General features: G+C 40.0%; 1 annotated feature.

Annotated features, from left to right (window-relative positions):
* Window positions 13,138-14,337: an enhancer, noted in NCBI's record as "MED14-independent group 3 enhancer chr14:24139233-24140432 (GRCh37/hg19 assembly coordinates)". NCBI's record gives its function as "activates an origin of replication core promoter dependent on BRD2, BRD4, P300/CBP and CDK7 cofactors, and independent of MED14, by STARR-seq in HCT116 cells {active_cell/tissue: HCT116}" and the evidence as "EXISTENCE:reporter gene assay evidence [ECO:0000049][PMID:35650434]".

The following is a 15,305-nucleotide window of genomic DNA, read 5'->3' as shown; positions in this document are numbered from 1 at the left end:
AGCACAAATCCTCCCATGATGTGCCATGCCCTTTAGATGTCCTTGCCATGGCCTTCAAGGCCCTGTGTCCCCTGGCCTCACTACTTGCTCTTTTACCTCATCTTCTACCACTCCCTTCTCCCCGATCCCAGCCACACTGGCCTTCTCGCTGTTCTTCAAAGGCCAAGTACTCTCCGGCCTCAGAGCAATTGTTCAGCTGGTCTTTCTGCCTGAAAATTTCTTTTGCCTGAATATCCACGTGCCAAACTCCCCCAATTCCTTCGGGTCTCTCTTCAGGTGTCACCTATCAGGACAGCCTTCACCAACCACCCTGTATAAAGTAGCAAACCCACCTATGATCACTTCCTAGTCCCTTACCCTGCTCTATTTTTCTCCATGGCACTTATCATCACCTGACATGTTACATATTTATTTGTTTACTGTTAACATAAACCATCACTAGAGCAAGGACTTTGTTTTATTCACTGCTCTGTCCTTAATACTAGGCCAGTGTGTAACAGCAGCTCAATAAATATTTGTTGAATGAATGAACAAATTAATGAATTATTTTTCCTGAAAGTTTTACAGTTTTGCATTTTTCATATTTAGCTCTTAATTCAACTTTAGTTTATTTTTGTATATGGTTTAAAGTAGGAATCTTAATTTATTTTCATGTGGAAAACCAGTCATGTGGTTATCATTTATTGACTAGTCCTTCCTTTCCTGTAATGACTTGTAACAACACTTCTGTCATTTCCCAAATTTTCATCTATGTGAGGGTCTCTTTCCAGGCTCTCTATTCCATTCTACAGGTCTACTTGTCTATCCCTGTTCCAATAACACAACATTTTATTTACCACAGGGCTATAATAAGCCAAGTACCCTCATCTTATTTTTCTTTGTCGAAATTGTTTTTGCTATTTTCAAAGTTTCCATTTTCTATATGAGTTCCATTATTTAAAAGCAACAACTGTTGAGATTTTGATCAGAATTGCATTTACTTCATTTATTAAAGTGGGGACAGATGGACATCTGTAAGCTGTTGAGCCTTCTTATATACGAAATGTCTTTCCACTTAGTCAGAGCTTCATTTTGCTCTTCAAAGATGTTTTATATGGGCACCAGCCTGAGTGACAGAGTGAGACTCCATCTCTTAAAAAAAGATAGCTTATAGTTTTTCCATGAAGATACTGAAAAAAAAAATCTATGTTCTTTTTATTCCTAGATATCTTATAGATCTTGTGAATGTTACCTTTTAAAAAAAAAAAACATTTTTAACTGGCACCGTGTTAAATGGCAACTGTATTGATTTTACATGTTGACCTTGTAGCTAGCAAACTGCAGAATTATCTAACTAGTTCTAATATATTTTCAAAAATTCTATGCATTTGGTAAATATTGAATTTTTCTCTTCTCTATGAATTCTTATGCCTTACTTTTTTTATCTCATTGTATTGACAGACCCTCCAGTGTGATGCTGGATGGTGGGGTGATGCAGGCATCCTTGTCTTATTCCTGACTTCAGTGGGAATGTAATGGTATTTACCATTAAATGGTATTTATTGTAGGTATTTGGTAGAATTTTATACTAATTTAAGAAAATTTTCTTCTAGTCTTAGTTTGCAAGTTTTAAAAATCATGAATAGATTTAAAACTATATAGAAGAAAATTTTGCATCTGTTAAATGATTGTATGGATTATTCCTTTGATCTGTTGGACTGGATTATGATGATTAATTTTTGTTGGTGAACATTCCTTGTATTCTTGGGATAAACCCTTCATGGCCATGATTTATTTATATAAAATATATATAATATATATACTACTGTATACATACTATTACAACTTCATGATTTTTGCATCCATGTTCACCAATGAGATTAATCTATAATTGTCCTTATCCTGGTTTAGAGTTGTTTATTTAAAAATGAGATGGGAGGCGTTCTGCTTCCACTTAGGATGTACGAAGCCACAAGAGAACATCACCCTCACCCTAGTAATGAAAAAATATAGACAATCTGCAAAATTGTAGCTTTTCTTCAGTCCATCAGAGAGTTCAGGCCACTACGTGAACTGAGTTCCAAAGAGTGGTGACAAGACCCTCGGAAGAAAGACATGGCACATGAGCAGCTTCCCTTTGGTCAAAGCGTGGGAGGAAGAGGTGACTGCCATAAACGTGAGAAGAAAAAAGCAGCTAACATTCTAACATTTTCGTGAATTATTAAAGGCCAGGATGGACTATCGCAGCAGTTTAGAACAGGGTTTCTCAGCTTTGGCGCTATTAACATGCAGGATAATGATTTGTGGTGGAAGGCTGCCCCATGAATTGCAGGACTTTTAGCAGCAGTCCTGGCCTCTACCTACCAGATACCAGTACCACAGCCTCTCCCATTTGTGACAACCAAAAATATCTTCAGACATTGCTAAATGTGCCTTGGGGGGCAAAACTGCTTTTGACTGAGGACCACTGGTGTAGACGGTGGAAACCCAGGCACGGGAGTGTCTGCTGTCACTCATGAGCTCTTTTCCACGGGCTTTCACCACGTGCGAATGAGAAAGACAGGAGACAGAGGGAACCTCAAATTAAAAACCAGAGCTTGTCAGCTTAGAACCAAAACATGACCCAATGGATCTGTTGTCTCCTAGAAACTCACTTTAAATATAAAGAGGTAACTAGGTTAAAAGTTAAAAGATGGAAAAAGGTATATCATGTAAGCACTAATCAAAAGAAAGCTGGAGGAGCTGTATTAACCATCAAACAAAATAGACTTTAGAACAAAGAATATTACCAGGGATAAAGAGGAGTATTACGTAATGAAAAAAGGATCAAATTGTCAAAAAGTTGTAACTATCCTAAATGTGTAAGTGTCTAACAACAGAGCTTCAAAATAGATAATGTAAAAACTGACAAGACTAGAAGGAAAAATAGAAAAATCTGTATATTCACAGTTGAAAACTTCAACACACTCTTCTATCAGTAGTTGATAGAACAAGTAAACAGAAAAATCATTAAGTGTATGGAAGACTCAAACAACACTATTAACCAACTTGACCAAACTGACATTTATAGAACGCACCTCTCAACGAGTTTTTCCCAAGCACACACGGAGCATTCATCATGGTAGATTGTATCTAAGGCCATAAAACAAATCCCAACAAATTTAAAATTTTACAAATACATTCTCTGGCCTCAACAGGATTAAACTATAAGTAAACAACAAAGATATTTAGAAAATCCCTAAATATCTGGAAATTAAACAACACATTGCTAAGCACTCATGCATAAAAAAGAAGTCACAAGGGAGATTAGAAAATATTCTAATTAAATGAAAATGAAAACATAATGTATCAAAATTTATGGAATGCAAATAAGCTGAGCAATTCTCTCTCTCTCTTTCCTCCAAAAAAGCTTGTATGAAAAAATGATGACCCAGGCCAGGCACAGTGGCTCATGCCTGTAGTCCCAGCACTTTGGGAGGCCAAGGTAGGAGGATTGCTTGAGCCCAGAAGTTTGAGACCAGCATGGACAACATGGCAAGACCCCCTCCCTAGAAAAAAAATTTAAATTATTCAGACATGGTGGCATGCACCTGTGGTCCCAGCTACTTGGGAGGTCGAGGCAAGAGGATTACCTGAGCTTGGGAAGTTGAGGCTGCAGTGAGCTGTGATCACGCCACTGCACTCCAGCCTGGGTGATAGAGCGAGACCTTGTCTCTTTAAAAAAAAAAAAATCCATTTCTGGTTTGTAAAAGACATCTATAAAACCATCTCATCCTAGTGTTTTTATTGAGAGGGGACAGAGAGACAGAGTTTACCTATTGATTTAATTTTTTAATGATTTTAAATTTTCTCCAGTTTTCTTGATGCCGGTCTGTTTATTCTCCCACTGATAAAGCTGCTCACAAGTTTGCTCTTTTAAGAAGGGAGGGTGACAAGGGGAAGAGGACCCTGTGGTGGAATGCACATCCCCACTGTGGGCACAGCAAGGCCCAGCCTTCTCTCCATGGGATGATGGGAGACTCAGTCTTCTCTTGATGACTCAGCCATGTAAGTGTCCCATTTCCCAATAAAACCTACTCCTTTGCCTGTTCTCTATGACATGGCATTCATCCACAACCCTGACACACAATAGGCAACCATGGAGAATGAACATGCCTTACCAGACATTATTTGTGTATTTTCTCTTTTCCTTGATCAGGTTTTCACAGAGGTTTGTCTATTTCACTATACATTTTTAAAGAACCAGCTTTTAGTTTTGCTGATCATCTCTATTGATTCTTCTTCCTATGGAGATAAGAGGATGGTAGAGGCGGGCCGATTGGGTAGTGTTGGTGGTGGTTGGTTTGGTTGAGTGGTTGTTTTTCAGCCACCCTCCCGCTCCTCTCTGGCAGCCTATCAGGCCTCCTCACCAGTGGCAACCAATGTTCCCAGTTTTTTATGTATCCTTCCAGAAAGATTTTGTGCAGGTGTGAGCAAATGTATATTTATATACAGATATTCATAAATGGTACTTATGTAATTTTAACCACTGTTATAAAAGAACAGTATATTGTGCACACCATTGTGCTCATTCCTTTTTTTACTTAGGGGATCATTATGAGTCCCTGCATGCTGAAATCCCTCATTCTTTTTAATCATTACAAGTAGTATTTATATTTTATGGATATTTATAATATGATCAAATCTCTTATAAATAGTAGTGCAATTAATAGCCTTTGTAATTCATCATTTTGCTCATGGTATCTGCAAGACAAATTGTGTCTTCGTCCATTTGGGCTGCTGTAACAAAATACCATAAACTGGGTGACTTATACACAACAGAAATGTATTTTTTCATGATTCTGGAAGCTGGGAAGTCCAAGATCTGGCAGATTTGGTGTCTGGTGAGAGCCACCTTCTGATTCATAGATGGTGCCTTTTCGCTGTGTCCTCCATTTGTGGAAGGGACAAACAAGCTCCCTTGGGCCATTTTATGAGGGCAGTAATCTCATTCCTGAGGGCTCTGCCCTCATGACCTAATCACCTCCCCAAACAAGATTTTATCATATTAATTTGGGGAGGACACAAACTTTCAGACTATAGCAAATAGGGTGAAGTGAAATTTGTAAATCAAAAGGTTTTTGTTGTTTTATGAGACACTGCCAAATTGTCCTCCATAGATGGTTGTCCCAGTTTGCACTAGCAATGTGTGAGAGGGCCTGTTCTATCACACCCTGAACACTGGCTAATCCAGCATTTAATCAACTTATTGGATCTTTATCAATCTGATAATTTTAAAATGATATCTCAGCATAGCTTATAACTGCATTTCTTTCATTACTAGTGAGATTGAGCTTTTTTCATATATTCATGAACCATTTGGTTTTTTCTTTTCTGTGAACATTTATTCATATCTCTTGCCCATTTTTCCAAGATTGTTGTCTTTTTCTTATTTATGTGTAGAGGTTCCTTATGCATTAAGAAAATTAGCCCTTAGCCTATAATATAAGTTGCAAATACTTTCCCCTAGTTTGTTATTTGTATTTTAACTTTATTTACAAATAAAGTCCTCTTGGTGGATCCTTCCCAATATAATTATGTACTGTCCCCTTTTGTTCCCATTAATTCTTTTTTGTCTTAAAGTTTATGTAATCTGATATTAATAGTTACCCCAGCTTTCTTTTGGTTAACAATTTCCCTGTATATCTTTTTTCATTCTTTTATTTACAATCTTTGCAATCAATTTTTTTTACTCCATGTCTTGTAACCAGCATATAATTGAGTTTTGTATTCCTTTATTTAATCCAATCTGATAGTCATTTAACAGATGAATCATCTTACTCTTTAGTATGGTTGCTAATAAATTTGGATTTATTTCTTTGGTGTTTTTATTGTGCTTTCTGTTACCATCTACATTAGCTTACCAGGGCTGCTATAACAAATTACCACAAACTTGGGGGGCTTCAAACAACTTAAATTTATTCTTTTGAAGTTTTGGAAGGCGGAAGTCTGAAATTAAGCTGCTGGCAGGTCTGTGCTCTCTCCAGAGGCTCTGGGGGAGATCCCATTCCTCCCATCATGCAGTTTCTGGTGGCTGTCGGCATTCCTGCACTCATAGCTGCATCACTCCAGGCTCTGCCTCTGTCTCGACCTGGCCATCTCCTCCTCTCCCTATGTGTCACTCCTCTGTGTGTCTTTTATAAGAACATTTGTCATTGGACTTAAGGCCCACCCAGATAACCCAGAATGTTCTCATCTTGGGATTCTTAATTACATGTGTAAAGACCTTTTTTCCAAATAAAGTCTCATTTACAAGTTTCAGAGATCAGGATGTGGACATATATTTTGGGGGCCATTATTCAACCTACTACACATTATTTTTGTTCTATATCTTTGCTTCTTTGTTGTTACTCCTTTTTTTGACTAATGTCAGATTTCTAAAGTTTTCTATAGTTTATCATTTTATTTCTGCTTGTTCAGAAGCTATGGATATTTACACTAACTTAGTAAGTACTCTGACTTATACCATATATACCCATAAAATTTTCTAATGAAATCCTATTTTTTTCAATATTTTTATTCTTTCATTTAAAAACACGAAAAGGTTAGGATACTTTCGTTACTCATTGAATAATCCCTGACCCAATATTCTTTGCTATTTTGCCTAGAACTGTGGTCTCCAACATTTTCAAATACTCAATTAATGAATTTTGAGCACACACCTGCAATATAAGTGTATTACTTATTTATAAACTATAGACATGCATTGCTTATCAACATATTATATAAATTATAAAATATATACATATATATAATGAAATATAATATAAAGATGAAAGTTCTAATATTTTCTTTTTGATTACCAGGAGACTATTTTGCTAACCATCTGGGGTGCATACACCCTATTTTAATACCATTTGTTTAGAGATGTTATTTTACTATGAGAAAAAACACAAAAAGTATATTAAGAAATTTACTCTCAATCCTTAATTACATTTACTAAAATATTTTACAAAATTCAATCATTGCCATTGCTTTTTGCTTCCTACCTCTTCCCTCTCAGTTGCCTTCACTCAGTAATTTAGTTTCTAGATTATCCAGTAGGCATATTTCAAGACTTTCAGTCTATTTTCTTTTCTTGTCTTATTTGCCTCTGTGCTACAGAATATCCTGCACTCTCCTCCAATTCACGTATTCTCTCTTTGACTTTTAATTTGCAAGTATTTGTTCTTTTTTCTAATTCTACTTTTAACCTAGCAGTAGACTGAAGTGATTAAGCCTGTGGAATCAACCACTACTCTGCTTTGAATCCCTGTTCTACCAATGATTCCTGTGACAACTTGGGCAAGTTATTTCACCTCAGATCCCTCATTTGTATATGACTGATAATAATAGTACCTATTTCATGGGACTATTGTTCTGATTAAATGAAATTTAATAACAATATATTTAAAGAATCTAGACTGGTGCCTGGCACTTATTAAGTACTTAATAAAGTTAGCTATTTTAATTCCTAATTTTTCAAAATACAGTCAAAGAAGGTAGTTGATCCCCTCCTCTTCTGTTTTTCTTTCCCTCCCTCCCTTGAGGGTTGAAATTTTTATTCACAGTTCATCTGTGGCTTTTTATTGGAAAAATTTTTGTGGGAATATTTCTGTGTATGTGCTTTGCAGATTGAAGACCTGGAAACAAAGTCAGGACCCACTCTCCCCCTAATAACTAGAAAAACGACAAAATATTTTAATGTATTTGAAAGCATCAGAAAGCTACCAAAAGTTATTAGGCTTGAATCCTGGAGATCAACAGAAGAATGAGTAAATAAAATGTGAAATATACATATAAAATGAAAAATTATACAGTATTAAAATAGAGTAACTAGATCCATATTCACTGACATGGATAAATTCAGAAACATTTGGTGAAAAAGTACAATATGCAAAATATTATTTGCAGCCTGATATTAATTATGTAAAACACCACACATACACTATGCATTTTCTGTGAGTACAATTTTTTTTTAGGTCTGGAAGGAAAAATACTAAATTCATGAGTGTAGTTAACTCATTTACAGGGAGAGAGATTGGAGAACAGGAGCATTTGTCCGATGGGACTTCAGTGGCATCTACGATGTTCAAACTTGTAAAAGACTAAACAATTTTTTGAAGGCTAAAATGAAATTAGAGTAAAACAAATAATTATGATACACTTAGCTGTATGTGAACTAAGCTCCATTAGAAGCAGAAAAGAGGGAAGATGCCCTGTTCCCTGGGGGGCTGGGCCAGGCTCTTCACAGTCCTGTCTGCTGTCAGGAAGGGGAGCCACAAGCAGGGGCCATTGGAACTGGAGGTTGGCTTGCTAATAACGGTAATGCTATGAGGGCATATTGTGTGCCTAATGATGTGGTTATCCAGGGCTTTGGATTCGTTATCTCACTTAATTCTCACAGCAGCCTTCTGAGTTAAGTACTACTATGATTCCCATTCAACAAATGAAAAAGCTAAAGCTCAGTCAGGGTAAATAATTTCCCAAGTCACAAACTCACAGGCAGTAGAGCTATGATTTGAATCCACGCACATCTGACCCCTGAGCTCAGATTCCTGCCCACTCCGCTGCAATGTGTGTGTTTGCTGGTAAACTGAAGTAACATATCCACACACATATCATGAAGTTGAGATTAAATCAAACACAATCGCTATGGTAAGAGTATGTGGGATACTTATTCATTAGCAAGATGATATCCTTATCCCCAGAAAGATGCAACTTATAGAAGCCTGCCCTCTGAGATTTAAACTAGTGAAAATAAATATTTAATGAATGAGAGTAGCTATCTAAAAAGTTCACCTTAGGGAACAGATCAAAGCAGGAAGAGACGAGTTGATGCCACACTTCAATCAAGATGTCTAGAGTGAAGTCACATGAAGGCATAATTGCTAAAAGCAATTTGGATTTTAAAATGTTTACATTCTTTGATGCAGTGATTCCACTTTTTGGAAAATATACTAGAAGCATAATACTGACTACCTAAAGAGCTCTTTGCATAAATATATTCACACATAAAATGATTTATAACAGTAAAAATGAAAATCAATCTAAATAGTCAACGCTGGTGAAATGGTCAGGAAAATGGACCTTGCATATGGTGGGAATTATGAGACACACACACAATGTGCATACAGAGGCAGAGTTACCCTCCTGCTACAAATACACAGATATGCTGAATAATGTATAGTAATATTTAAAATGATATAGTTGAGGCAGGAAATAAAGGAAATTAATAAAAGGAAATTATATTATAAAATAATATGACCATAATAAATAATAGGAAATTCTCAAGTCCCAGAAAGGAATAAAGAACCCAAAGCCAGCATGGTAAGAGTGAGATGAAACTAGAGCAGTCAGGCCAGGCGCAATGGCTTATGCCTGTAATCCCAGCACTTTGGAAGGTCGAAGTGAGAGGATCACTTGAGGCCAGCAGTTCAAGATCAGTCTGGGCAACATGGCAAGATCCTGTCTCTATAAAAAATTTAAAAATTACCCAGGTGTAGCTGTGCACCCCTGTAGTCTCAGCTACTCAGGAGGCTGAGGTGGGAGGCTCACTTGAGTCCAGAAAGTTGAGGCTGCATGAGCAATGATCGCACCGCTGTGCTCCAGCCTAGGTGACAGAGTGAGACCCTGTCTCTAAAAATAAAAATAAAAGTAAAAGAAACCAGAGCCATCAGTGGAATGTTGGACCTGGAGTAAAAGACTGAGATTTTAATATTCACATGAGAGTGATGAGGCCTTCGGTCCACAAAAGACAGGGACCTTGGCCCTACTCTCTGTAAAGCAGATGCTGAGGCAAGGATGAAAGAGCTGAAGCCTTACTTGATGTATTTGTCTGGGTTCTCCAAAGAAACAGAACCCACAGGAGGTGTATTTACACAGAAAAAGATTTATTTTAAGGAGTAGGCTCAGAAAATTATGGAGACTGGCAAATCCAAAGTCTGCAGGCTGGAGACCCAGGGAGGGGTTTGTGCTGCAGTTCAAGCCTAAGGCCCTCTGCTACAGAAGTTCCTCTTGCTCGGGGGGATCAGTCTTTTGTTCTGTCCTGCAGTCGACTGGCTTCAAAGTGGATCTACCCACATTATGGAGGATAATCTGCTTTGCTCAGTCTACCAATTTAAACATGAATGCTACTTATAAATACCCTCTCCAGAACATCCCGAATAACATTTGACCACATATCTATGCACTGTCCCAGCCAAATTGACATATAAAATTAACCATTACACTTGGGAAGTGCAAAGAGAAGGCATCAGGGACGAAGAGGAAGACACTTAATGACAAGCCTCGAGGATCATGGCAAAGCATGTTACTCAGCAAGCATGCCTGTTTAACACAGGGGTCTCCTCCAAAGAGGCTGCAAAGAGAAAGGACACTTTGGTGTAGGCCATGGGGCCAAGAAAAAGATTTTATCTGCCACTCTCCTTCCCATCTCTGGTTTCCTGTTAATCAATGTTCAGCCACAGGAGTTAATTCCCCAACACCTCCAGGTGTGGTTAGGTGGCCCCTTCTACAGTGAGAATTATTGCAGTGTTTCATTCAAGTCTGGAAGTAGTCAAAGGAGCCAGAAACTTGGGGTTTGTGGATGGTTAGTGCAGCTGCATGGTGGAGGTCAAGAGGAAAGACCCCTGTTCCCAGAGAAAGCGATGGTCCGATCCTCCACTAGTGTCAGCAGGCTCAAGGATGGACACAGACTTGAATCCAGTGTAACTCACCCCTTACGCCACTGAGATCCACTCATTTTCTCCCATTATATTGACTCTTATACTGTATTATAGCAATTCTGGGTTTGTTTTGTTTTTGTGTGCAGACAAGACACCCTCACTCCTTCCCTAAGAGGGAGATATAGGTCCTTACAGTCACAGTTGAAATCCCCTGGGAGAATTCAGGAATGAGGTTCAGTGAAACAAGAGTCCTTAATAGACATTCATCCTCCATCATCTCTCTCCTGCACCACCCATGCTAAAATTCCCTTGTCTCCTACCAGCATTTAGTCTGGTCCAGGTTGATTGCTTGGTGGAGTTACCCAGCCCTTCAGGCCCCTTGTCCTCCCTGTGCTTGGTGGGTTGTACCAAGCACAATTCCCATTGACTGTAATTATAGGACTTAGAAGTACTGAGAGACATCCAAATACATTGCCTGAATTTTGGAAATTCTTTTTAATGATCCCTTATACAGAATGAATTCTAGTTCTTCATGCTAATCAGAATTGATTACCCAACCAGTACAATAAAATAAGTCCTTCCTTGGTTTGCCTGTTCACTGTGGTCAAGTGGAAAAGCCAGATGATATCTACCATGAGTGTCTGGTTTGGGGAACCTGGCTCTCTACCAATGGTCACATTCCCGCCAGGTGACCCTGTCCACACAGCTACTTCCTCTCAGTTCCAATAACTGCTCCCAGCCCTGTCCTTTGTGGTAACCAAATAATAATTCCCAAGGACATCCACTTCCTAGTTCCTAGAACCTGTGAATATGTAAAGCTATATGACAAGGGGAGAATGAAGGTTGAAGATGGAATTAAGGTTTCTAATCATCTGATTTTAAGGAGATGAGTGGGGATTATTCAGGTGGGCCCAATATAATCACAAGAGTCTTTTAAATTTGGAGGGGGAAACAGAAGTCAGAATCAGAGACACGGCATCACTAGAAGGACCCAACCAGCCACTGTGGGCTTTGAAGATGGAAGGGGCCAAGAACCAAGGAATGCCGGCAGCCTCTAGAAGCTGGAAAAGGCAAGGAAAGGATTCTCCCTTGGAGCCTCCAAAAGGAATACAGTCCTGGTAACACCTTGATTTTGACCCAGTGGGACCCATTTCAGACTTCTGACCCCCCAAGATTGTAGGATAATAAGAGTGTGTTGTTTTAAGCCACTACATTTATGGTAATTTGTACCAATAGGTAACTGATACACTCCTTCAGACTTAGGGGTGACAATGGGTCCCACTATTGCAGGCCCCAAGGCATTGCATCATCCCTAGTTGGTTTCCTAAACCCACCCAGGCCTCTGAAGGAATTTACAGTTTGGGTTGTTACCAGTTTCCTGCTGAGACCCTAAACTGAGACAGAGCCCAAAGCATTACTGCCAGGATTTCGGTGTCCTCAGCCATGGGAAGGGAGAGTATGCTTGTCTAAAGACTTAGAAGGGCAGCTAAATAAAGTTCTTTCTGAAGTGTCCTAAAGGCATCAGTGAAGAGCAGAGCCCTTGGGTGACCAAAGAACCTAAGTGGAGATTTATTCTCGCCTCTCTTCCAAGTCTGTTCCTTCCCCCAGCTCCCTCCCTTCAGTCCCAGGGAAAGAACCCTGGACTAGAAATTAGGAGTTCTGGTTTATTATGAAGTTTCTGCCATCAAGTATCTTCAAGAGAAGCAGCTAATTCTTCGGAGCTATGATTACTTCATCTGTTAAAAGGTACTCATGGCCCGGCACAGTGACTCACTCCTGTAATCCCAGCACTTTGGGAGGCCAAGGCGGGTGGATCACCTGAGGTCAGGAGTTCAAGACCAGCCTGGTCAACATGGTGAAACCCCGTCTCTACCAAAAATATAAAATTAGCCAGATGTGGTGGTGGGCACCTGTAATCCCAGCTTCTCAGGAGGCTAAGGCAGGAGGATCTCTTGAACCCAGGAGGAGGAGGTTGCAATGAGCCAGGATTGTGCCACTGCACTCTAGCCTGGGCAACAGAGTGAGACTGTCAAAAAAAAAAAAAAAAGTTAGTCTTGGAGAAATATTTCCTCAGTAGGCAAGTCCATCTGTGACATACATTATTAACCTGTATAATTTAATATTACCCTGGACACGCTATCCTCTTTTTGTGTGACCCACACAACTTCAAGTTTCTTCGACAAGGTCCTCTTGGCTGCATTAGTTTAGGCTGTGTATGCTACAATAGCAACAAGGTTGATGCTTTAGAGAATAAGATATCGATGTCTTATATTTAACACCTTAAGGCAGTTCCAGGTCAGAAGGGATGAGTTGAGGATGGTGGTGAGAATTCTGCTTCAAACAGTGGGTCACTTGGGTGACCTGGGTCACTCGGGTACCCAGACTGATGGCAACTCTGCCACCAGCAACATGTGGCTTTCAGGATTGATGTGGTTGTTTCCATCCCAGGCAGCCAGAAGCAAGGGAAAGCGCGCAGGAGGGCACCTGTGCAAGTTTTTTATTGGCCAGGACTGGGAGGAGTATACATCACTTTTGTTCTCATTCCATTGTTTAGAACTCAATCACATAGATGCATCTAACTACAAGGGTGACAATATTGCTTGGAGCCTAGAAAAGAAGGCTCAGATTTAGGTGTATCTACCACAAAAGCTCACACTAACTGCCTTCATTTCTCATCTCAAACTCCTATGAAGGGCCCAGGAAGCCTACGAGGGCTGGTCCCTGCCCCCATCTCTGCTCTAATCTAATTTCCTGCCACGTTCCTTCTCATTCACTATGCTCAGTCTCACTGGCCTTCTTTCAATTCCTGAATCCTGTTGACTCTTTGTGTTTGCTCTTCCTTCTACCTGGACCACTCCTCTTGCAGATCATTTAGGTCTCTGCTCCCATATCTTCTCCCCAGAGACCTTTTCTTGACCATCCTATAAAATGTTGTCCCCACCTCCCAGACACCTTCCCATAGAATCCCTCGTAAAAGCAGGCCTGGGTGGTCAGGCATGCCCAGACATGTACTGAATCCTAGCAGAGTTTAGGCTCAAACAGGAGTACCCCTAAGAGTTCCCTCCCAACCCTGCAGCATACGCATATGGAGCCCTGTCTGCAGTGATCGGTGTATTGTCTCCACCTCCCAGACACTGCTGTGTTGAGGAATAATGGCTGAGAGTGTTCAGCATTGAAGGAAAACACCAAATCTCAAGCAATGTAATTAAAGACAAATCCATATTTCTACTGGAGACATCATAGTGCAATTATAGAACATCAAAGAGAAAGAATGACTTGAAAGAACTTCAAAAGTATTACTTTAGCAAGAAAGAATATGAGCCATAAAGGGGAATGAGATGTAAGGAGCAGTAGTGGGCCAAGAGAGCAATAAAGCATGTTGGCAAATCTAATAATCAATGGATGATAAATCATAACTACTGAGAGGTTAAAAGCATGGAGGTCAGCTCGGGGAGTGGTGTGCACCTGTAGTCCCAGCTACTCAGGAGGCTGCCATGGGGAGATGGCTTGCACCCAGGAGTTCAAGGCTCCAGTGGGCTGGGATTATGCCACTGCATTTCAGCCTGGGCGACAGAGAGGGACCCTGTCTCTTAAAAACAAAACAAATAAACAAACAAACAAAGAGTGGAGGAGGAACTAAAATTCTAGATGATATTCCACAATAAAGTTATACGAATTCCATATAACTCCATGATATGGAAGCTAGGGGGAAAGAGAGTGTAGAGGGAAATTAAGTTCAGGCAGGATGACTATGCTCATGGATTCTCGAAGGTCCTCTTCATGGGGTAATGTGTATGCTCTGTACCTTTGCTTTTGGTGTCTTTTCTTCTCCTCCATGGACACTGCCTGTGCTGGGATCCACTTCTCCTGTGACAAGAAGATGGAAACCCTTTGCCGCAATCAGAGTACACTTCACCCCCAACTTGCCCCCATTTCTTCACACTGATCACTGCAGGCAATAGGGCTCCTTATGCATGTGCTACAGGCTGGGAGGGAACGGTTAGGAGTGCCCCCGCCTGAGCCTGAACTCTGCTAGGATTCAGTGCATGTCCGGGCATGGCTGGCCACAGAGCTTGCTTTTGTGAGTGATTCCATGGTAAGGGCACAAAAGAGCACTGGCACTATGGCAGGCGGGAGCTGTGTGGGCAGGAATAAGAACACAGAACAATAAGATTTATCTTCTGGCCCAGACTCATGGCAAAAACAGTTATGGGACTATTATCACCATGACCTCTGGGAGACACAGGGGCAGACTTCACTCTGTACTTGTGCCCTGTGACCAAGTGTCCCATGAGATGCCCAAGGTTAGAGATAACCAGGTTCATGCACATTTGTGTCTTTCCACAATGTCAGACTTTTACTGAAGCTGTCTCAAACATAAAAGACACGAGCTACATGGAGTTCAGCAAGAAGGCAGTTCTCCTTAGTACTTCTCATTCACTCAGTTGTCAGAGCCACGGGCACATAGGCCCAAGCCTGTGGGCAGGAAATCAATCATTATTGCAAACCATACATAGTAGTATACTTGATCAATATGTAAATGTTATAAATTAAATATTCCACCACAAACAAAGTAACATTTATCATCAAGAGAGAAGGGATAGTAAAAACATTAATGAACCAGTCCAGGGCGACCAACAT

This window comes from Homo sapiens, chromosome 14, assembly GCF_000001405.40.
Source record: "Homo sapiens chromosome 14, GRCh38.p14 Primary Assembly".
Classification (NCBI taxonomy): Eukaryota; Metazoa; Chordata; class Mammalia; order Primates; family Hominidae; genus Homo; species Homo sapiens.
The sequence above is the reverse complement of the archived record's forward strand: the minus strand, read 5'-3'. Positions and strand labels throughout refer to the sequence as shown.